Raw genomic sequence first — 23896 nt, 5'->3', positions numbered from 1 at the left:
AGATACTGGGGACTACTACAGAGGGGTGGGAGGGAGAGGGGTGTGGGTTGAAAAACTAACTACTGGGTACTATGCTCGCTACTTGGGTGATGAGATCCATACACCAAACCACAGCACCATGCAATATACACATGTAACAAACCTGTACATGAACCCCCTATATCTAAAATAAAAGTTGAAATTATAAAATATATAATATATATAAAATTCTGGAAGTATATATTATATTATATATTATATATTTTATAATATGTTACAGTAATGTAATATATTATACAGTATTATATATAATATATAACATTATTATTACATAATATATAATATATATGTTATATACATTTATATATAGTTCCAGAATTAGAGAACCTAAATTCAAACCCTGGTTCTGCCAATTACTAGTGATATCACACTGAACACATTAGTTTATCTCCCCAAGCCTTAGATTTCCTGTTTGTAAAATGTAAATGAAAATAATACCTACCCATAGAGTTATTAGATTAAATGAAATAATGCATGAAAACTAGCTAGAACAATGTTTGGTACATTGAAAACATTCAATGTCATCTACTAGTAGTAGCAGTAGTTGTAGCAGTAAAGTTTCATGCCCAAAATTCTCAGTTTTCTTTCTGGTAGTTTCAAGGACATCTTAGAGCACTGTGCCTACCCAGCTGCTATTCAGACTTCCATCTTTCATGGATAGGGAATGGTGCAGCCATGTGAGCAAAAGATGCTGATGGAATGAATGAATCATGATTGCTTGATTTTGTGATTAGGTTGATTTATGACATCGGTCTGAAAAATAACTTTACAAAATGTTGTGTTTATTGCTTGCTGCAATGTATTATTTCAGGTGACAGTTACAGAAAAATCCTTTTATTTTGTTCTCAGGAAATGCGATTCATCACCACACAGATAGGAAGCCTTCCCTGGAAAGAGAAGATAGTATTTCATGCATCAAAAAAACATGAAATGTTGAAAGTTGGGTGATAGAAAGTCGAGTATTTGAAAAAACTATTAGTGGTAACCGTGTTTTGTCCCTTGTAAATCCCAACCTACCTTCTGTTGAGGTCCAGGTCTCTCTTCACTGACACTGTATATAACTCCTATATCTACGCAACATTTTGTTGCTAAAGTTTGTGTTTCAGGTCTTACATAAGCCACAAAGGGGAGGGCATCTTTATATATCTTTTTGAAATCACAAACATATCGCTTTTTGTTCACGTAAATGCTGTAGCAATACCCTTGGTTTGTATGTGAATCATATCTCAGTAAAGCAATATTCTTAAAAGATTATTGGAAAGGGTCACTGAGGTCTGTCTGCCCACCTCAGTCCCCAGGGAGTTACCCCTCTTCTTTCTGTCAACATTCAGAGGTTCCATCATCCCTCCTTTGTGGTCCAGACAGCTGAATACATGAGTAGGAAGGCAGAGGACTTAAGCGCCTCTTGGTTATCTAGAAAACTGATTGAACAGCAAGAGAAGGGCAAGCACAAATGCAGCATTGCCACCCCATAAGGAGTGGCTGATACCCAGAAAAACACAGGAACAATATCGGGGTCTGTTAGCTACATGTGCATTTCTTGTTCATGTAGGATGAACCAGAAATAGACAAAGAAGCATGAGGGAGAAAAGGCAAGGAGATCAGATAAGCCACAAATACATTTGACATTTGAATGAGGCAGAGGGTATTACCTTTGGTGCTTTTTTCTTTACATATCTCCAGCAGCTGGCTTCAGTTGCCAATTTTTGGACTCTGAGGTGAGGGATGGAAATAAAAACACATAGGAAGAAAAATTTAAGACACTAGTTTAAATTTAGATAAGCATGTTTTCCTGAATTTTGAAGAAAATTAAATCATTCCCACGTTGTACAGGGAAACAGTAAACATTCTTTCTTCTAGTGAAAAAATAGACACCGAAAGGCTCTTTACAACTGCCAAAAATTCATCCTTTCCTTCACATGGCCCTAATGTACACACTCACTCAGATAAATGCTAGATATTGATTAATATCCTTTACTTAAAATTAGGTATATTTTTTAAAAACTAGTAATATGTACCCCAGAAAAATTTCCACAAACTAAGTGTCACTCAGAAAAGTAGATGGCTCACAACCAGAATGAATCACGTGTGTGAGTTTGTCTGCCTGTGAGTTTACATGAATTGTGAGTTTGGAGTGGAGTGAGTGTTCCTAGAAAAGAAACAGTGAGAAATAAAGTTGGAAAACAGTGAACAGGCATTTCCATGGAGCCATCCATTGGGGCTAACATTCACAGGTTGCTGAGGTTCAAACCAGAGCAAATGGCTACAGACTACCTTCACTGGAGCGAGGGCAAGCAAGGGACATTTCTCCCTTTTCTCCCTGACTACCCTTACCCTCCACTCCCTCATTATTCTCAACTGCAGGATGTTAGCACAAGGCCTGGGAAAGTGAGACAGCCACTCCTGAAAGACTTCACTTTCTAATACCCTTCCTGCTCTGCTCCATTTGGAGCTGTTTATGATTTCCTTTGCAAGTCGCTTTGACTCTGTCTTATTAAGATAATGAGTGGTTCAAAACCAAAAAATAAGAACCAAAGGTGTAATTCAGGGATAATTATTACCATCCTCATTTAAAGATAGTTAATTGCCATTCAGTTTAAGTTGCATGACTTACAAGACTGCTGGGGTTACAACCCAGGTCTTCCGACAGCTTTTTCTGTACTAAGGAGACACTGCTCAAAGTGTATTTCAGAGATGTCTACATATTAGTTGTGTAGCAATTGTGCTCTCAAATGTAGTCCTGGTAGACACTGCAGAGAGGAAGCAGTGTCCTGCAGGGTTCTGTTTTATTTTATTTGACCAGGAAAACCAGTTGAATTTCAGTAGAAAAGAAATAAAACTACCTCTTCATTAAAGCAGACTTCAGGACTCTCTGCTTTGCAGCACTTATCCACTACATTTGCGAAATTTGTAAACAAAGACTGCAGCTCTTCATCTGTGAGTTCATGCTTCAGCTTCACTAAGTTGACAAGAAACCTGTGGCCAAAAGATGTCAAATAAAATTAATTAACGCTTTCTTTCTGAAGCGTCTCTACTCCAAAATGCTTGTTACAGAATCACGTCTTGAGTCTCAGCTTGGGTGTGGGTAAAGAGTTGAAATATACCACTTTGAATGGGTCTTCTGAAACTTTCCTATTAAATTTAGAGAATGGTTTCCACAGTAACATTCTTTGAAGGGTTTTGTCACACACAAAATTATACAAAAAGTATTAACAAGGAGGAAGAGAGGGATGACGAGAAGTTGGCCAAGGAGTACAAAAATACAATTAGATAGCAGTAATAAGTTCTAGTATTCAGTAGTATAGTAGGAAAATTAAAGTTAACAGTAATTTATTGTATATTTCAAAATAGCTAGAAGAGGAGAATTGTAATGTTCCCAGTACAAAGAAAAGATAAATGTTTTAGATGATGGACATTCCAATTACCCTGACTTGATCATTACACATTTATGCAGTTATCAAAATATCACATGTACCCCCAAAATATGTACAACTATTATATGTCAATTAAAAATGATGTCAAAGGAGCAATTAAAAAAATAAGCTATCACAATTAAGTGTGACAACAGCCATAGACAATAATGATTTCCTTATTTTCTAGTAAATTCTAGAATTCCAGTATTCTAGTAACTTATAGAATTCCAAACTTCAGGGGGCAACCCATTGATGTCTTAAAAGTACATTTTAGAGTACATTTTTAGAGTAATTATTTTAAGTAATAAAATTTTAATGCACCAAAGAGGAAAATGTAATAAGTCCCGTATGCCCATCCTTCGATCTAAGAATTAACAAAAATTTGCATTTTCTCGCTTTCATTTTTAAAATGAAAACAGGATAGTTAAAAAGAATAAAATAGACCAGACTAGAATAGGATGGACTGGAAAATACAAGAGTGTATTGCACTGTGAATCTATGAATATTGCACATAATAAGAGTATTATTCTATTTAAAAATGAAAACATATATTAGGCCTTTATTATGCCAAGTATTATGGTATACATGACTACGTCTGATCTTTCCAGAAAATTCATGTCCAAAACAACCTCCATTTCCTCATATTTGGTAGCTGAATGTTGTCTCCACTACACATTAGGCAGACTCTGTCTAAATCCAAAAAACTAGGTCTAATTTCCTGGCATTTTAAAGCATTTATTGAGAAAATGAAAGTAAACTTCCTGGCCCTTTAGGCCTCTCCTTTGTAAACACTAAATGATATTCTCCGGGCATTCCCTCAAGGAAATGAAATTCATTATCAGCCTGCCTATGAGCCTTTTTGCTGGCTGCTGTAAACTTTCTAAAGGTAATGTTAGACTTGGACATTCCAAGTCTCTTTCAAATGAAAAGACAAGCTAGATATAAACAATGGCAAAAAAAAAATATGCACTTGTATTTTTCCATATAGAAGAGACTGGACAATTTGGTGGAAGGAACAGGATTGTGATATCAAAAAGACATATCCACTAGATAAACCTTCTCACTAATACATGGTGTGTCTTCAAACCAAAGAAAAAGAAGAATGGAAGAGATTATTTGTACCTGTCTGTCTTCCTCTGAAGCTCCTCATTCTGAGATTGACACATGTCTGCGTGAAAGGTAAATAAATCTTGAGAGAAAGGTGGAGGCACATATGTTTTATCAGCTTTCAAACTCTCAAAGCAGGGCCTTCTGAAGGCAAAGTTTGTTTTACAGCAGTGGTCCACAGCAGGGTTGATAGTTCGATTTTCATTTACTCCACATAACTCTCCAAAAACTAAATCTGCCTGTACCAACAAGAGTTGCAACTGAGATACGATCTTAAAACTTGAATGGAATTTCTAAAAATATGGTTAGATGAATACTTAGATCTTTCTAAGATCACTGTTAACCTCACTCATAAAACACATGCACTCATGACATATCCCTATATACAAGTAAAACTAGAAGCTGGGGTCCTAAATGGCATTATGACCAAAATCCAAGCCATAAGAATTTAGATGCCTACAAATTAATTTCTTGGTGGCATATAAACAAACTTTCAATTGCAAACAGACAGCTGCAAAAAGCCAACTGAAAGGGGCGATCAAACACTGTGGTACAGGGGTTTCTTCCCCTCCTGGCATCTGCCTCAAGGTACTCTCCACCCCAGCCCTAAAGAGATGTATTCAATGCCTGATTGCTGGATGAAGCAATGGGGCCAAGAGGAAGAATCTGTAACCTTACTTAAAATTATAAAGTTTCCTGTATCATTTTGAAACAATATTATGATTCCTAAATCATTTGTCCTAACAAATCCCTTCTAATACAATGAAGAAATAAGAAAGATAATTTGAAGTACTCTCCAAAAATATTGAAGACATTCTGTTTTACTTCTTAGGGTTTTCACAAAGTGAGCCAAAAGGAAAACTTGACAATTTTTGCTTAACAATATTAAAACAGTGAAGAAAGGAATATGGATAATCACGGTAAATCAATGAGTGCAAATATTCTTTTTTTTAAAAAAAAAAAAAAAGAGTAGTCTGGTACACAGGCCATGCTCACCAAATTATCAACACAGGCAAACTCTTCACTTAGCGTACAGCAAGTAGTGAAAGCTGTCACCATTTTCTCGCCAAGAGACACCAGTTCTTCAGTGGAGAGTTGGGGAGCTATCTTCGTGAGCCTGATGAGGTAACTGAAAGAACATTTGTCTGTTTGGTTCTGAATGAAAGCAGATACCCATTTTCCCTTGAATTACTGCTGAAGCCCAGACCCTTCAAGGCTAGCGACAACCAATATAGGTGCAACATGAACCTTAGCTCTCTCATAAAGTAGAGAAATATGTCTTTACTTCCTGTTTTCCTGCACCCTGCTTCCTATATCTATTTTAGCTTCCTTTCTAATTTCACGGTTGTCTCAGAAGCTCTTAGATTTGCCTCCCCGTGTTATCTTTAAGTATAGGAGCTCCTTGACAGCAAATACATTGGCTAGTATCTAAAATCTTGCTTAAAATAATTTACATCATTAGAAAATATTTTAAAGAAAGAATTTAATCAATATATGTTGTAAAAGGATAATCTGAGATGAAGAAAACTAAGATTTTTAATGAACTAAGTTTGAATTGTCAGCTAACAGCCAAATTGCAGAAATAGGAAAGTCAGATATTTTTAAACTGTGTTTTATTTTGATTTAAAGATGTTTAGTTTCAATAAATAATACATTAGCATGAGGCCAGGTGCAGTGGCTCACACCTGTAATCCCAGCAAAGTCCGAAGGGTTGGATTGCTTGAGCTCAGAAGTTCAAGACCAGCCTGTGCAACATGGCAAAACGCCATCTCTACCAAAAAATACAAACATCAGCCAGGGATGGTGGCTCACGTCTGTAGCCCTAGCTACTTGAGAGGCTGACGTGGGAGGATCACTGGAGCCTGTGAGGCAGAGATTGCAGTGAGCTGAGATCACACCACTGCACTCCAGCCTGGGTGACAGAGAGACCCTGTCTCAAAAATATGTAGTAATGATAATAATAACAATAATAATAATGATAATAAAATACATTGACATAATAATTGAAAAAAACCCAAACTGCATATTATTCACAAATGCTCACAAGAGCACTAAAAAGCTAAATATTAAAGTGTTAAACACATCCTGAGTTATTTCTATAAACTCAGGTAAGATAGCCGTAAGGCAAGGCAAGGCAAACTATCTCTTCCCCAAAGAAACTGTAATGACCTGAAATATGCAGTGTCCCACTTTGAAATGGGTGAGGATGCAGGGATTCTAGATTGGCAGTGAGAAAGCCAATGTCAAACAGAAACCAAAGCATTAGAGAATCAATGTCTCCAGAATCCTGTATTTCTTTTATTTTTAGCTTCATTTCTGATAAAAGATTAATGTGACAGTTCAATAGGCATTCTTGACTTTAAAAAAAAATTCTTCCAAGAGTTTATGAATCGGCCATAACTGAAAAACTTGACAGCTAACTTTTTTACGCTTCGAGGGATTATGTATTCAATTCTAGTGGCAAGTGTTAGCCCACTTGTGCAAACAACATACTGGTATTTCAAACCATCCTTCCCCAAATTCTGGAAATGTTTACATTCTTGTTGTACCATCTTGAGGCTTTTCTCAGTTGTCTCATTGAATTTGTCTTCCTGAAAATAAGAATAATCATGGTTACAAACATTTTATCTAAAATTTAACCATAAGCTTTACATCAATGTGTAGAATAGCATTTCTTATTTCTATGGTATTTTCAAATTCTCATTATTACACTAAATTCAGGGCACTTTTTACAAGCACGTGCAAGAACTTAATTTTTTAATTATGTATATAAAAATATATTTCTTGCTAAATTTAAAAGTCCAAATTTTTTTATTATCACCTTGTACATATTTCAGAGCCTTCCAAATTACAAAACAGAATTTAAATTGTATGTTGAAAATAATAACATTCAGTTGTCACTTTGAAGTGGCAAGAGCAGTTGTTATCTCCATTTTTAAGTAAAGGCAACTGGCCTTGTGAAATTAAGTGACTTACCCAGAATACCCCAGCTAGTAAGTGTTGTTACAGAACATTTTAAATCATGTTGCTCTTTTTGATTTTTTCATTGTTTAGATTTGGAACTTAAAACCTCCAACAGTTTTCTTCAAATATTTGATGGACTATCTCTCATGTGGCATAAAATTGGACATCTTCTGAGTGGCCACCAGACAGAGAACTAAACACCAGTGGATAGCTATTGTGGAGCAAATTGTATCTCCATGAAAAGAGAGAATTTTCTAGCGCTATGATTAATTTAAGGATCAGAAACAGACTACCTCATTAGGGACAGTTACAGAGCAGGGATCCAAGTCTTATTCCATTGCTCAAATTTGAGTGGGTATAAACTGGTGTTTGTGGCAAGTGAAAAAAAATGTTTTGCTAAAGCAAAAGTAGCACATATCAAAGGAAGGAGAAATAAATCAAAAAATGTCAAATTATTAATTTCTCTAATATGTATTCAGAAATACATATGAATTTATATGAAAAACACTAATTTCAACAGGAAAATGGGTAGTACACATGAACAGATTTTTCACAGAAAATGTGTAAATAGCTAAAATCATATGGAAAAAATTTAACAATTTAAAAATCAAATAAAGGTGTTTTAAAAACACAAACACTGTTATTTACATATAAATCTAGCAAAGTTAATTTCCATGTGCAATGTTGGTAAAAGTGACATTGAAATGAGCATTTCCAAGCACTGTTGTGGGGCCAGACACCAGAAACAACTTTCTTGACAGTAATTCAACAATTTGTGTTAAATGTTTTTTAAAGTTCATATATTTTGATCCAATAATTTTCCTTCTGATAATCCATCCTAAGAAAAAAGCCATAAATATTAATAAAGATAAATGGAAGGAGACGTTCATCTCAGGGTCACTTACAAAGTGAAAAACACCCTAAGCAAACATCCAAAATGTCAAACACACAGTAGGAAATCAGTTAAATAAATTAAATAATTATGATGGGATACCATCATTTAAAAAGAAGTTTATTTTCAAGTCTGTTTAATGACGTAAAAAGTTTTCTATACTAGACACAAGAAGAGTCAAGGACTAGCTTCCCTAGAGGGAACACAGCCCTTCTGACACCTGATGTTAGCCCCATGAGACTCATTTCAGGCTTCTGGCCTCTTGTGAGAGAATAAATTTTTGTTGGTTTAAGCCGCTCCCTTTGTGGCAACAGCAGGAAACCAAGGAAGCACAATTTATAACAACAACAACAAAAAAGTTTTCTATGATACCAAATAAAAAAACAGGTCCAAACATTTTCTAGGAATTATGCCAATCTTATTTTTAAAATACACGTATATATACGTATATGTACTGAAGAGTTGAACACAAATGTTAATTATAGCTATTTCCCAGTGGGAGAATCAGAAAAGGGTTCTTTGTAACCTTTGTTGCTTTCCTAATAATCAACAACAATCAATCATTACTTTTGAAACCATAAAGAATCCAATATGGCTTAATAAAATACAGAATATTTTCCTAGTCATCTACAGCAATCATTGCTTTTGAAATCATGTAATATCCAATACGGCTTAATAAAATACAGAATACATAAAGAAAAATGTAAATTTAAAATGTTTAATGGGAAGACTTTTTTGAATTAACACATTGGATTAGTAGTCCAAAACATTATGCATCAGCCAAACTGATGACATTGGCCTTCCCAATAATCTTCTTAGGCTGAATCTACAGTGGACTCAGATTAGCCAATCACATTTTCTACCCCCAGACTGCAGCAAAACTCTGATATCAATTTTTAAGTGTTTTCTAGTTGTTCTTTTTTGATTTTCTGAACCTACAACAATGGAACCTACCGCGTAACGGTAACAACCTGGAGGGTTTTCTGTGTTGCAGCAATTTCTCAGGAGATCTTTGTATATTTGAACAATTCTTAAAAGCTCTGGTATAGACAGGTCTGGATGTCTCCTTGAGTATTCAAAAGTAAACCTGCAATGTGTAAAATTTTGTATATTAGAAATTAGAGAAAGAGCAAAAAACCCAATTCCACTATTTTGTAATCCAGTCAGATCTAATACTGACTCTGCTTTCAAAAGCTAATTTTCTCCTCTGTCTTGGTCACAGAGTAATTTAAGAGGACATTTTGGCTATAGATCATTTTACAAAAGTTCTCTTCCATGGTACGTTTTAGATTAACAATATTTTTTATTTGAGAAGAGAGAATTAGTAGAATTATTTGGAACTAATTATTGGAATGATTTAATCTATAAAACATTGGAAATAATAAATTGTGAATATACTTTAAAAAATACATATTGCTTATAATTATGTTTGAAGATGCATTCAGATTTCCAACTTGACATGCTGGGAATATGGCTTCCTTCCCGCCCACAATGTGGTCTTCGTGAGAGATAGGGAGCAAGCTTTGCCCATTACTACATCCTGTCACTTGCCAACTATGGGAGTGTTTACGCCTTCAGCTCCAAATCACTGGCAGTGGCTTCCAAATCCTCTGTCAAGGACTTCAAGAGCATAGGTGGGTGTGATTTGGAAAGAAAGAGAGAGGAAGAAGGCTAACAGTTATTAAGCCCTTAGTAGGTGCTAGGCACTGGATCAAACTTTGGGCATAACAGATATAGATGTGCTTCCTGGACTTTATAAACACTTTCTCATTTCACTTCACTTAGTCCCCAAAATATGTACTGTTTTACAACTGAGGAAACTAAATCACAGACTGGTTAAGCACCTTCCTATCAATGGAAGATATAAAATTTGACCCTAAGTCCCCTGGGATGTTTACTCCATTCTTTACCAAGCGAACTCTTTTCTCAAGACAGAGATGTCATCTTGAAGTACCTCAGCTGGGCTATTTACAGTCTTCATAAAAAAAAGAAAACTCATCTATTCATTCACAATAAGTTCAGATCTTCCACGTTTTGTGAGCGCAATACCTCACAAGTTTTTCATGACCAGGTAACTCTTTTCATCCCCTCCCCACCCCTATTTTTTCAGGATTTGACCTTCTTGATTAATCTTGGTTTTTCTGAAACCATCTCTCCAGCTTCCCATTTGCTTTTTCAATTCCATTTGTGAGATATATTCCCATATCCCATGGCAGTAGTGCTTAACGTTCAGAGAATCAGGGCTCCTCTTAATATCTGATGTAAGCCATGGACTTCTTCTCTGGGAGTGGGGGAGTAACACACACACACACACACACACACACACCTAAAAACATGTCTCAAAATACTGTGAAGAAAAATCCCTGGAAGCTTACTCTAGGCTGGAGAAGCCACTGAGGACTTGCCTAAAATGTTCACATCCAGAAAGACTCTACCTTAAAACACTGAGCACTCTGACTTGGTGTGCTCACTGTTACTCTATCATTTCTCCCCATGTTTCAAACACTTTTTATGTTGTAATAGTGACGATTATAAAAATGGCTTTTATCTATCAAACACATATGTCAGGTACAATCTATCATTTTGTTTAATTGAACTTGATTTAATATCCACAACCATGAGAAGCCGTAGAGGACAGTAGTTATAAGACTAGGAGTTTGGAGCCACACTGCTTGCATTTGAATCCTGGCCACACCACATGTGTGACTTCGGGTAAATTACTTAACCTCTCTGTGCCTGTTTTATTATCTGAAAAATAAAGATTATAAAAGTATACTAACTTCAGAGGGTTGTTTTTAAAATTTGGTTGGTTAGTAGATGAGAGGCACTTAAAATTTAGTAAGTATTCAGTAAACATTAGTTGTTGTTATGTCCTAGATTTCAAGCCAGATTCCCTTCCAGAGCTACAGGTTCACATATAAAATTCTCTTCTGATAGTTCCAATTAGTTATTCTACTGGTACCTCAAAGTCAATGTGCTCATACTTAAACATATTATCTTTCTCACAAAACCTGCTACTTTTTCACATTGAATGGGAAAACTACCCACCCAGTTATCCAAGCCCCAAACTGGGATTTTCTTCAGATGAGGTTTCTAAAAACTGAAAGTGAATTTGTCCTTCCTCATTCTTCCATTAAAACCATTCAGTGGCATCCCATTACTTAGCATGCCTGCATGATCTGGCCCCACCTACCTCTCACCATGCTGGTCTCTCGCTGCAGATGCCCTACTCACAGCCACATACACAACAAACCATTATAAACTTCAATTCATGCTCTACCTATCTAGATTACCAAAATTTCTTCAAGTACCACTTCCCTATTAAGCCTTTCCAGGGTCCCTATATACAACTGACCATTTCTTCTTCTGTTCCCCTGCATTACCTAGAACAGGATGCTATTAGAAATAAAAGAACATTTTTTGCACTTATTTATTTATGTTTGTCTCTTCTCACTTTATACTCTCTATAGATGAAGGCTTCCAGGAGATAAAAAAAACAAACAACAACAAAAAAAAAAACAGTAAAGTCCCTGGATTATATTACATTACTAATAAACTTTAAATTAATAAATATTCTTTTTTTTTTTTTTTTTTGAGACAGTCTCACTCTGTCGCCCAGGCTGGAGTGCAGTGCGTGATCTCGGCTCACGGCAACCTCTGCCTCCCAGGTTCAAGCAATTCTCTGCCTCAGCCTCCTGATTAGCTGGGATTATAGATGAATGAGTATTCTTATATGAATTTTATATATGACAAAAAAAAAAAGCACAGAAAGGTTAACTTGTCCCAGCAACTCAACCAGAACTCAAATATAGTCCCTGTGGCTCCAAGTTCACTAGTCTTCCCCTTAACAGTTGTAGATGGCATAGCATAGCAGTTAAGCCTGCAACTTGCTAGGCCAGGCTTCCTGGAGTCAAATTCTTACTCTGTCACTTTTTAGCTGTGAATCTGAACAATTCACTTCATTGTATCTCAGCTTGCTCATCTGAAAAACTGGGAGAAATTGTACTTATTTTGTATGATTGCTGTAAGAATTAAAATAGTTTATCTGTATAAAGTATATAGTCCCATGACTGGCATATATTAAGTGCTCAATAAATGCTAGCGATTATTTTAATAATACAGTTGATTTTTTCTTAAAATTGTGTGAAAACTACACTCTATAGCCATGATTTAAAAAAAAATTATATGATACCTAGTGAAATAAACGGTACCATGTCCTTCCACCTAAATTAGCAACAAAAGTCAAATCTTATAAGTTTCTTTCTGTTTCCCTTATAAATTCAATAAAGAGTTATATTACTTCGCAAAGAAGGTGTCTGGGTCAGCATCTCGTTCTTGACACACATTTTCACTGTCAGTAAATTTTCCTTCTCTTAGAGATAAATCCTTTGGTCTATCATCTTTGTTTGAGTTAATTATGCACTGGCCGCGCTCTGGTATTTTCTTTTCACAGCACTCTTTGATTTTGCTGGAGATAGAATCTTGTTTTGAACAAATATGGTTCATAACCTTGCTCTGTACCAAATAAGAATGAGAGATTATTTTACTTTCAGGCTGGGTTTTCTTCCATTATGGAATGATGGCATGCAAAACCAGTCATGATCGCAGCATCTGGAATCACTTCATCAATTAATTTGCTAGATAATATTTGTTTGAATTAAATTTTGGATTTACTTAATGCACATGAAGTTTTACATTAAAACTTCTCAGGATTTAAGATGATATAATTATGAAAAAATAGGCTGTACTATAGATTCACATCCATTATTAAGCATTAGTCTTTTAAATAACCCTCCTACACTGATATATTTACATCTTATATTCTAAATGTTGTTTCTTTTCCATAAGAGTCCACTTGTGTTTTCAGTGGAGGCCACCAAAGACATGTTACTATAATATCTATAATCCTGGTCTTCTCTTGTGGCTGAGCACATGGCAAAATCAAAATAAATATTTGATAAATGAATGAAAGAATGACAAGTGAGTGAACTACAGCAACTACCAGATGACGATTCATCAAATATAAGAAGCTATTCCACTCATGGTATCATTTTCTAATGGATATCATTTTCTAATGGATATCATTCATTTGAAGCTGTTCAGGTTAGCAAATACTGCTCAAATGGACAACTTTATTCTGTCCCCATCCCTACCAATTGCCCCAGTTCTAACCTCTACATAAGAGTTGGGAATTAGAGAGAGGGTGGGGTTATCTTATTTACACATTAGTTGAATAATTTTTAAAAACTGTTCTGGGCCCTTCCAGACTCTAGAATGAGACTGCACATTATTTCCCCTCTCCGTTTCAGCCTCACTTGAATTATGTTGAGTTACAGCAACACACTAGACTATTTCAAGCCTTTATGACTTTACTCAAGCTATTTCCACTGACGAATCTTCTGGTGAACATGGAGGATAAGGAATAAGATGAAGCTCAGGACTGAGGTAAAAAATAAAATGGGGATCGGCACCATGTTTCCAACAAACCACATAGAACCAGGAAGCCAATCTTCAAAAAGACATTTACATCTCATGTAATGCCAGCATTGTTCTAGGCAGAGCATCTCTTATCCTCTGGGAAGTTACTTCTATTTTCAGTTAACTGTAATTCAATTCCTCTTATTTCTCCAAAAAGACATTAAAAAGAAGGAAATTTGAGACATAATCCCTTAACCTAAGCCTCAAATTTCACAGAAAATCTATAATTATATCCTAATTCAGTACCTTAGATTTCACATTATAAAACATACATCCTGGCTAATACAGTGAAACCCCGTCTCTACTAAAAATACAAAAAACATTAGCGGGGTGTGGTGGCAGACACCTGTAGTCCCAGCTACTCAGGAGGCTGAGGCAGGAGAATGGCGTGAACCCAGGAGGCGGAGCTTGCAGTGAGCCGAGATCATTGTCACTGCACTCCAGCCTGGGCGACAGAGCCAGACTCCGTCTCAAAAAACAAACAAACAAACAAAATCCTACATCACCAAGAACAATCAAGCAATACAAAAATAAATCGCAAAGGAGATTGATTTAACTTGGGTACAGTTAGGAGCAAAAATAATTATTGGGAACATCTGTTGTCCATTGTTTGAAATAAACATTTCTCAATACCCTAAAATTCAAGTTATTTAATTGACATGCTATCTTCACTGTAAGCCTAAAAGTTGAATCTTTCTTTCTTTCTTTTTTTTTTTTTTTTGAAATAAGGTTTCATTCTGTTGCTGAGGGTGTTGGGATTATAGCTCACTGTACTGTATCCTCGAACTCCTGGACTCAAGCAAGCCTCCCTCCTTAGCTTCCTGAGTCCTGAGTAGCTGCAATTACAGGTGCAACCTATCATACTCAGTTATTTTTTTAATAAAATTATATTACCTTTGAATGCATGAGCAATTTTTTTTCACTTTAAGTTCCGGGATACATGGGCAGATGTGCAGAATGTACAGGCTTGTTACATAGGTATACGTGTGCCATGGAGATTTGCTGCACCTGTCAACTTATCACCTAGGTTTTAAGCCCCGCATGCATGAGCTACTTTGATGCTCTCCTTTCAGCACCCAATCTCAACCCAACAGGCCCTGGCCTGTGTTGTTCCCCTCCCTGTGTCCATGTGTTCTCATTGTTCAACTCCCACTTATGAGTGAGAACAGAATGCATGAACAATTCAAACTATGCCAACAATATTCGTACCAATACTTTTCCTTGGAAAATCACTTTAAAGATTTCTAGAGGCTGGGAATTGGGGAGATGTTGGTTAAAGGACACAAAATTTCATTAGGACAGAAGGAATACATTCAAGACATCTCTTGTACATCATAGTGATTCAATGATGAATTCATACCACTATATTGAGTACTTTAAAATTGCTAAGATTTGGAGTATTCTCACCACAAAAAAATAAGTATGTGAGGTAATGCATATCTTAAATAGTTTGATTTAGACATTCCACAATGTGTGTGCATGTATACATTAATATATATGCATATATAACATGTTATATATACACATACATATATATCATGTTGTATACCATGAGAATATACAATTTTTAATTGTCAGTTAAAGGCCAGAAAGGAAAGGGAACGTGGAAAGAAATGAAAGGGAAAAGGGAGGGAACAGGAAAAGGGAAGGGAGAAGGTAAGGAAAAAGGAACCAAAAGAGAAAGGGAAAAGAAAAGTTAAATTAATGTATCCACTTATTTGGAAGGACTATACCTGAATAGCGTAAGGAAGCTCAGGGAAATCAGCTCTTAAAAACATAATGTTAACAAGTCATTCCTTGAAATTTACTATTTGTTTCCAACCTCTCTAAAAGAGGATTTATAATGTAAGAGAAAACTTCAATCTGTACTAAATGAACTATGAAAAATTTGAAATTTCTGAAGTTTTACATCAAGACATTTAGCCATATAATATACAATCTATTCAGTAATCTTTAAAAATTCCAAGTATAAAAAATCCCAAGGTTTATTTATAAAAATGTTTATATTTCATTTTATGCTTTCATTCAAAAGTTAAATCACATTCTGATTTCATTGTGGCAAAGTAACCACATATCAGGGCAACTTGAGAATAAAAAAATGATAATTGCCAAAAATCACTATTTTAACTTGGTTTTAGAGAATATTCACCGTGTCACGGATGCACTGCACAACATCCCCTTCACAGCATCCATCATAGTTGGAAGAAACATCTTCTACAAGAGAAATAAGCTCCTTAAATTCAATCTTGGGGAATTTTTGACTGAGTATCGCAATATATCTGGAAAGAGAATTGATAAACCACAAAAATAATTTGAACAGCAAGTAGAACAAGTGGGAGTAATTTGCTAATATGATATGAATAGCTACAAAAAGTATTGCCACCATTGCTGTTGTTGTTGTTTTTATAGAAGTCTTTATCAAATAGTTGGTGCACAGCCTACATGATCACTTTGAAAATCTTAGGGTGATATTTTAAGAGCCCCAAAGTCCTGGATGTGAAAAAAAACAAAACTGAGAGGTGTGCTTTCTTCCATAATTATTATAGTAAGACATGCTGTGTAAGGCCACCACTTCCTATTGTAAGCTCATGGCAGGCATAGATAATTCATGATAGAACTCTTTCCTGCTGATCTACCTGAAATCTCAAAATTTTTCTCAAGACATTGCCTTAACACCCATTACTAATTGATTAGGGTGAGCACTAGAGATAAAATTTATCTTTGCAAGCACTAGAGATAAAATTTATCTCCTCATTGTTAAAGTCAAAGACCAATGGATGAATTATTTCTAAAGCACTTGTGGGTTTTATAACCCTGGTTTGAAACATCCAGAGCAGTTCAGATTCTCAATTAACCTAAATATGTCTCAGACCCAGCCACCATTCTCTTTTGGGTCTCCTCACCTCCCAAAACTTCTCTCATCTCAACCTAATGTCCTGGTCCTGAGCTGTCTAAGTAGGCTCAGACTCACCCCAAAGCCCCTAGGTACTAGGAAGAATATAAATAAAAAGTTATCAACCATTTAACAAAAATGGGACACAGACAAGGAAATGCAAGCAGAGACAAGACATATAGTATAAAACTCACATAAAGTGTACAACTTTGGTTCCAAATTTCAAAAGTGCCCCACAGACATGTTTTTGATAAGAAGAAAATGCTTTTAAATATTGTGTGACAGGTATTGCCTGAAGAAGAAAGAGAAAATTCTTTTGAAACAATAGCAAAATCTCACTATTCTCTTATTTTTTAGTCATATTTCATTCAAACTATTACAAAATTTGTTCAGAGACAGAAAATCTACAGGATTTTTATTTCAGTAAACACACATATTAAAAGAAATATGCACTTACGGCACATCACAAAGGTAGGACCAGTCTTGCTGATGATTGAATTGCACTTGGTAAAAAGGTGCATAAGTGCTCCCTTGGTGGGGCAGCATGCTGTGAGCTTGGCCATCCCTACTGAGATTATACCATGTTGTTTGTAGTCAAAAGACTACAAATTGTCAAAGATAAAAGATAAAATGTCATCATTCACCCTGGGCATTCACTCACCAGGGCTTCCTTCCAATTTACAAAGAAAACAAAGCTGGAAGAGAGACCCTGAAAATGACTGGCTGTCATTCAAGAGTCTCAAGTAAAGAGAATATTTAGATCAGCACCTGGTGACCAATGGTTTGAAAATCACTGAATGTGACAAGAGAACATCATATATGGTAAGCAAGCCTTTTGCTATAATATAAGTCAGGGTCTGGATCTGTGGTATTGAGTGATTTCTTATCCTCTTCATGGAACAAATGCTATACCCACCCTTGTTTGAAGGCAGTTGACTTTGTTTTGTTCTTCACAACATGATTTGGCCACCTCCTCAAAATGAACAGCAACAGTTAGAAGTGTAGGGGCGAAGACAAATGGGTTCCTTCTGGCAACTTCATATAAAAAGCTATAAAAAATAAAAATGAAAGAGAGAAGACGGGTGAGGGAAGAAACAGGAAGCAATGAATGTAGACAAGGGAAGGGAAGGGAAGGGAAGGGAGGGTAAGATGGGAAGGAAAAGAAAAAATAGAAAGAGACAAGAAGAGCAAGTTGTAAAACAAGGTAAAAGGAAGAAAGGTTTCCAGTTATAGAAAACTTCAATATAAGGCAGCATTAACCAGTTCCCGATAAGAGTCCTTTGAAGTCCTTATCATTGAAGTTGCTAACTCCAAAGTAGGAATAATGATTGCAATTCTAATCCCAAACACTGAACTGTGGCTATTGTCCTTCCATCCACATGCTACCAGCTGGTCAGCAGTTCTCTCTTCCATGTTCAAAGAACAGCTATCTATACACACTCTATCTGAGATTCAGGGGTCCTGTTTACTTTTTTTCAGATAAATTTGTGATTTAGATTTAGATTTCAAGGAGCATACCAACCTTCCAGAAAAAGTCTGTTTCTGCAATGACAGCACTATATTAAAAACAGATGTTTTGCTAAACATCCTGTAATTGAATGTCTGCCTGAGGTGAAAACAGCAACTTCCCCTTGGGAAGAGTATATTATTTCCTCTACTGTGCATCCTACCAATTTAACACCATGTACACACCTCTGCTCTAGGACTTACCAATTAGAAGATAAAATTCGTTAATATAATGGTCTTGTAAGCAGGGTCCATATCTTGATCATAGTTATATCCTGAACACTGAGCACAGTATCTGACACACAGTATGTTTTGAATGAATGAAACAATTAATCAATAAATTAATGAACCCAGCCATATTTATTTGAGATAGATATTAGATTCAGCCTAAGACTAATTCTTCAACTGGATCATTTTTTACTAAGATTAAACTTACTGATTTAAAAGGGATTCTCTGTTACTTTCATAAGCCTGGCATTTCTCTTCGGGATCCAGGGTAGGGAAAGGAGGCAGAAATCCCACATCAGATTTCTTGTTATAGAAGAAACAGAGTCTTCTTTGAGCATCAACCTTACTGCAGCAGTGTGAGAAATTATGCTTTTGTGGCAGCCCCTCCATAGCACATATTTTTTCCTGTAAAACATTATTCTATACAACAGAGAAGAAAAGGACAATTTTTAGTCATGGTAAAGTAAAGCTTCTGTACTCACTGAGAAAACACAATGACTAATTTTCCCACCATTACCAACAGAGCTCCTTCTCTTTCTCCTACTCCTCTCCTTCCCCTTCCCCTTCCCCTTCTCCTTCCCTTCCCCCCCTCCTTCTCTTCCACCTCCTCCTCCTCCTCCTCCTCCCCTTCTTCTTCTTCTTCCTCTTCTTTTTCTTCTTCTTCTTCCTCTTCCTCTTCCTCTTCCTCTTCTCCTTCTCCTTCTCTTTCTCCTTCTCCTTCTCCTCCTTCTCCTTCTCCTTGTTTTCTGCTTCTTCTTTGGAATGGGATCTTGATATGTTGTGCAGGCTAGATTCGAACTCCTGGGCTCAAGTGATCCTCCAGCCAAAGTGTCCTAAATAGCTGGGAGAACAGGTGTGCCAAATCAAAGCATTTTTACCCAAACCCTTGACAATCATCCTGCACTTTCAGAATCTTTGTTCCTCTGTCTTGTCACAAGACACTTCCACCTCTTACTCTTCCCTTGCTGCCTACATTTCCCTTCCACCAGGCTTTTCTACTCACCTCCCAAGGTGATGACATGCTGGTATGTTAATGTATTGGTAGAGTGTTTAGAAGTAGTGTTTAGTAGTAGTTTTTTGGAGATGCAGATAGTGATTCTACTTGGAGGAGGCCCAGAAAAGGGATGTAACAATAGAATACATATTGAGAGAGGCAGCTAAGGAGGTACCTCTGTAATTTCATGTGCAGTTTCAAGCTATGGCTTCCTCTTCTGCCTGAACATATAGGGCATACTGTATACATACTGCAAATACACAGCAATCTCCTTCTGTGCATCAAAATACAGAATTAGTATCTTTTCCAAGGAAAGTACCTTGTTCTAAATACCAAAATTAAGCAAAATGAAAATGCTGCGCACAGAACATCTTTCATTTCATATTTTCAAGCCAGAAATTTTCTCAGTGTTGGGCAAAAAATCTTGTGTGTTTAAGAAACACAAGCAATTGGCAGGGCACAGTGGCTCACGCCTGCAATCCCAACACTTTGGGAGGCCAAGTTGGGAGGATCACTTGGGGTCAGGAGTTTGAGACCAGGCTGGTCAACATGGCAAAACCTCATCTCTACTAAAAATACAAAAAAATTAGCTGGGCATGGTGGTGCATGCCTGTGATCCCAGCTACTAGGGAGACTGAGGCATGAGAATTGCCTGAACCCAGGAAGTGGAGGTTGCAGTGAGCCAAGATTGCCACTGCACTCCAGCCTGGGTGACAGAGCGAGACTCTGTTTCAAGAAAAAAAAAAGAAGGAAAGAAAGAAAGAAAGAAGAAAGAAAGAATGAAAGAAAGAAAGAAAGAAAGAAAGAAAGAAAGAAAGAAAGAAAGAAAGAAAGAAAGAAAGAAAGAGAAAGAAAGACATAAGATAAAAGGAAAAGAAACACAAGCAATTTACTTACAGGTAATTTTGAACACTCTGGGAGCGTCTTGTCAGCCATACATCTGTCTTTGTATTCTACCATGTCTTTCACCAGCTTTTCCATTTCTTCAAAGGTTGCTTCCTGAACATACTGAGCAAATGCAATGATGGTGCTGCAACAGTTCACATGGGGTATACAAAGATCAGTTGCAGAGTTTCCATTTATGGTCAAGAAAAAGTCACAGGAACATCCTGACTAGCCTCAGGAAATTATCTATTGTAATGGCTATAAATTTTACAACTTCTTTGCCTGAATTTTATAATTAAAGTTGTCTTCTTGGATATGGCTTCTATTTAGTTAAATTACTTTTGAGAAGCATTAACATTTCTAGAATATATCATTTTAAAAATCATCATCAAAAAGTATTTAGCACAACTCACATGTATTCAATATTATCTTCTATAAATTTTTGAGTACTATTGAAGTTCTCTGAAAAGCAAGAATATTTAGGTTATTACATAGCATGGTTTTCTAACATTTTTCAAATAAATAACTATACATGGCATTTAAGTGTATAAAATACAAAATAGACCACTGATGACAGGAGATAATTTTGCATATTTAACAAGAAACAAATAAGTCATGTGAACAAAATAGGAAATCTTAGTCATTGTTGATTATGTGTTCAAGAAATATTTACCAAATTGAATTGACCTAAATAAATCTTAATCTGACTAGACTTTAAATTTGCCATTGATGGCTCCCCAGATAGAAATGTCAAATACATTACCATGCTAAATGTCTATCATTTATGACTAGAGAAGTGATATGAAGATTAACTAATGGCTGATTCAATGCCATAACAGAGCCTGATGAGAGATGCTGTAGCATGCTGGTGGTCAGCATAGTTTTTAGCGCTACTCAGTCACAGCTATTTAGGTCATCTCCAGATCCACCTAAAATCATGGATTCCCTCCCAATGAGCATACACTAATTGGAGCATATTTATGTTTGTTCACATAAGCTACATTTATTTTTTGCAAAGTGTTGTGCTGGACCCTGTGAAGCAATCAACAATGACTAAAATATCTCCCCTTGACATCAGGTTCCTAAGCTGCTCTCTAATAGAAGTTACTCGTGCATGTGACAATAATCTAATTTAGAATGGGATTAAGTTGGGAATGCTTTATGAATCCTGGGTGAGAAAGAAAGAAAAAAAAGGATTATAGGAGGAGTGAGATATGAGTTGAGCATGAGTAAATGTAAGAGATTCAGCTGACGGAAAAATGAAAAACCCTGTCTGTCTGTGTGGAGAGAGAATGATGTGAATAAATGCATTAAGAAATCTTGAGAAGTATTTAGGGAAAGTCAATCTATTTTGATGAGAAAGTGGGTCACAAAGAGGAATAATGGTACCTAGGATAGAAAGAACCTGGGCCCAGATTATAGGAGTCTTGTATATAAAGCTAAGGAGTATGGGCTTCATTTGGAAGACATGGAGAGCCCTGGAAAATGTTTATATAGGATAGTAATCTGATCATTTCTATACACTAAGAAATACGAGTCAGGTAGTGGTATATGTAATGTCATGGGACTTTCCACAGTGCCAGACAAATAGAAAAAGGTAGAAAGAACTATTGTCAAATAAATGGGCAAAAGAAGGGTGGATGGGACAAAGTAAGAAGGCCATAGGAGACTTTGCAACTGTCACACTGAGAAATCAGCAAGATCTAAATTTTGGTAGGAGTAATGGAAATGAAAAGGAAAATATAGATACAAAAGATATTAAAGAGGCAAAAAATCAAGATTTTGAAACAGGTTGTTACGAGGGAAAAGGAGCAGGAAAACTCAGAAATGACCAGTCTTCACTAGCTGGTATTGTAGGGGCATGTCAAATTGAGTAAGACACGTAAGACACGATCCATGCCTTCAGGGCCACTGCCATGCTTAGGGCACATTTGTTCAAGTCAAAGAAAGGAGCTCCTTCTAGGCCAAAAAGGATTAGAAAAAGACACCTCCTCTAGACATATGAGGTTCAAAATATTTCCCCTTTGGATGGAAGAAATAAAAAAAGTCATCCCTTCCTACAGACTGAGATGGCCTTGGCCAGGCTCAGGAGGGATGTTCAAACTGTACAGTTGAAGGAGGAACTAGGTTCTGCATTCCATAAAGATATAGTTGGGAAATATGTTGGACAACCAAAGGTTCCAGAAAAATCCCAGTTAACATCTATTGTTCCACTGTTACCATAAACTATACATATATGCAAGAAATACCAACATTAAAATCCAAATGTATCTCCCAGCAACACTTTCTGTCCTGTCATAGACTGCTGATTATTCTTCAGATGTGACAACTCTTTCTTCATATAGACTTGGTAATATAAAAATTACCATCAAAATAAAAATTCTGAAAAGGTTAGTTTTGGATAACTGGTTAGCCTATGTAAATTAGTGAGAGGGTGAAAAAAGCAAGTAAAGAATTAACTTGAAAGAAAACAAAATTTTAAAAATAGAAATTATCCTAACTGGTCATGCTTTAGCTGATATACAAGTAAATTTCTTACCTATATCCCGAGGTTGTGTGGGCAGGGTTAGGGATTCAGTCAAAAAAAACAAGAAAAAAATAAAACCTGTAAGTTTTAGTAGTTTCATCTTTGTAGAAACCACATTTACAAAAGAAAGTAATGTTGTTGAGGAAAATCAAGTTTTTATATCATTCTTTCACATTATCAGTAAAAAAGTAACCTATTTAATCTATTTCTGAAATACTGAGTATTTGATTTTTTTGATCACTCTGCAGAATTCTTGCTAAATATTAACCAGAAAAAAAAATTACCTTTGTGTTTCGCTGGAAAAAATCTACTGAGTTGGAACAAAAGTCCACAGGCTAAGTATGCACAATACTTAATCAAATAGACAACCAAAAAAAAACTTAAAATACTGCAAATGTTAAAGGAACAAAGGGCCAGAACAGATATAATCAAGCAATCTCTCTTATGCATATATATCCAAAGGAAGTGAAATCAGTATCTCAAAGATATATAAATATGTACGCCTACTATGTACTCACAAAAATTAAAAATAAAAAATTAAGAAGATATACCTGCACTTCGGTGTTTATTACCTCATTATTCACAATAGCCAAAATATGAAAACAACCTGTCAGTCAACATATAAAAAACTAAATAAATAAATAAATCTCACACGCACACACACACACACACACACACAATGGAATACTATTTAATCTTTAAAAAGAAGGAAATTCTGCCATATGAGAATATGTGGATGAACCTGGAGAACATCATGTTAAGTGAAATAAATCAGACACAGAAAGAAAAGCACTGCATAATCCTACTTATATGTGGAATCTAAAAAATCAAACTAGAAACAGAGCATAAAATGGTGGTTATCAAGGGCAGGAGGTAGAGGAAATGGGGAGATGCTTGTCAAAGGGTGCAAAGTTTCAGTTACGTAGAATGAGTAAGTTCAAATGCATCACATGGACTACAGCTAATAATA

General features: G+C 35.9%; 1 protein-coding gene across 4 annotated transcripts, besides 1 other annotated feature; it reads right to left on the bottom strand.

Moving 5' to 3' along the window:
* Positions 1–800: 800 nt before the first annotated feature.
* On the bottom strand, positions 801–23057 carry AFM (afamin). 4 transcript variants are annotated; one of them, NM_001133.2, is made up of 15 exons: positions 22939–23057; positions 20813–20861; positions 20412–20544; positions 18729–18940; positions 17703–17835; positions 16981–17078; positions 16043–16172; positions 12716–12930; positions 9370–9502; positions 7053–7150; positions 5556–5688; positions 4575–4798; positions 2883–3015; positions 1692–1752; positions 801–926 (listed from the first exon to the last, which is right to left on the bottom strand). In NM_001133.2, exons 1-14 carry the CDS (start codon positions 23024–23026, stop codon positions 1732–1734), a joined length of 1800 nt encoding a protein of 599 aa, NP_001124.1. In that variant the 5' UTR covers positions 23027–23057; the 3' UTR covers positions 801–926; positions 1692–1731. The 4 variants fall into 4 exon arrangements, with proteins under 4 accessions (NP_001124.1, XP_016863331.1, XP_016863332.1 ...); XM_017007842.3 differs by lacking the exons at positions 801–926; positions 1692–1752 and having other exon boundaries at positions 2901–3015; positions 4575–4620; XM_017007843.3 differs by lacking the exons at positions 801–926; positions 1692–1752; positions 2883–3015; positions 4575–4798 and having other exon boundaries at positions 7109–7150.
* Positions 9795–10296: an enhancer, noted in NCBI's record as "NANOG hESC enhancer chr4:74360223-74360724 (GRCh37/hg19 assembly coordinates)". NCBI's record gives its function as "activates a minimal SCP1, AML or CMV promoter by ChIP-STARR-seq in naive H9 embryonic stem cells {active_cell/tissue: H9 hESC(naive)}" and the evidence as "EXISTENCE:reporter gene assay evidence [ECO:0000049][PMID:30033119]".
* Positions 23058–23896: the final 839 nt, after the last annotated feature.

This window comes from Homo sapiens, chromosome 4 (genome assembly GCF_000001405.40).
Source record: "Homo sapiens chromosome 4, GRCh38.p14 Primary Assembly".
Lineage (NCBI taxonomy): Eukaryota > Metazoa > Chordata > Mammalia > Primates > Hominidae > Homo > Homo sapiens.
Note: the sequence above shows the minus strand (reverse complement) of the source record. Positions and strands in the feature narration are given on the sequence as shown.

Excerpts from the sequence above, each read along its gene's own strand:
- AFM (NM_001133.2), bottom strand. The coding sequence starts at position 23,026 with ATGAAACTACTAAAACTTACAGGTTTTATTTTTTTCTTGTTTTTTTTG. Across the intron at positions 17,079-17,702 it reads TCAACTGCCTTCAAACAAGG|GCAATACCTGTCACACAATA; the intron begins GTGGGTATAGCA and ends TTTCTTCTTCAG. Across the intron at positions 16,173-16,980 it reads ACCAAAGTTGTACACTTTAT|ATATATTGCGATACTCAGTC; the intron begins GTGAGTTTTATA and ends TTCTCTTTCCAG.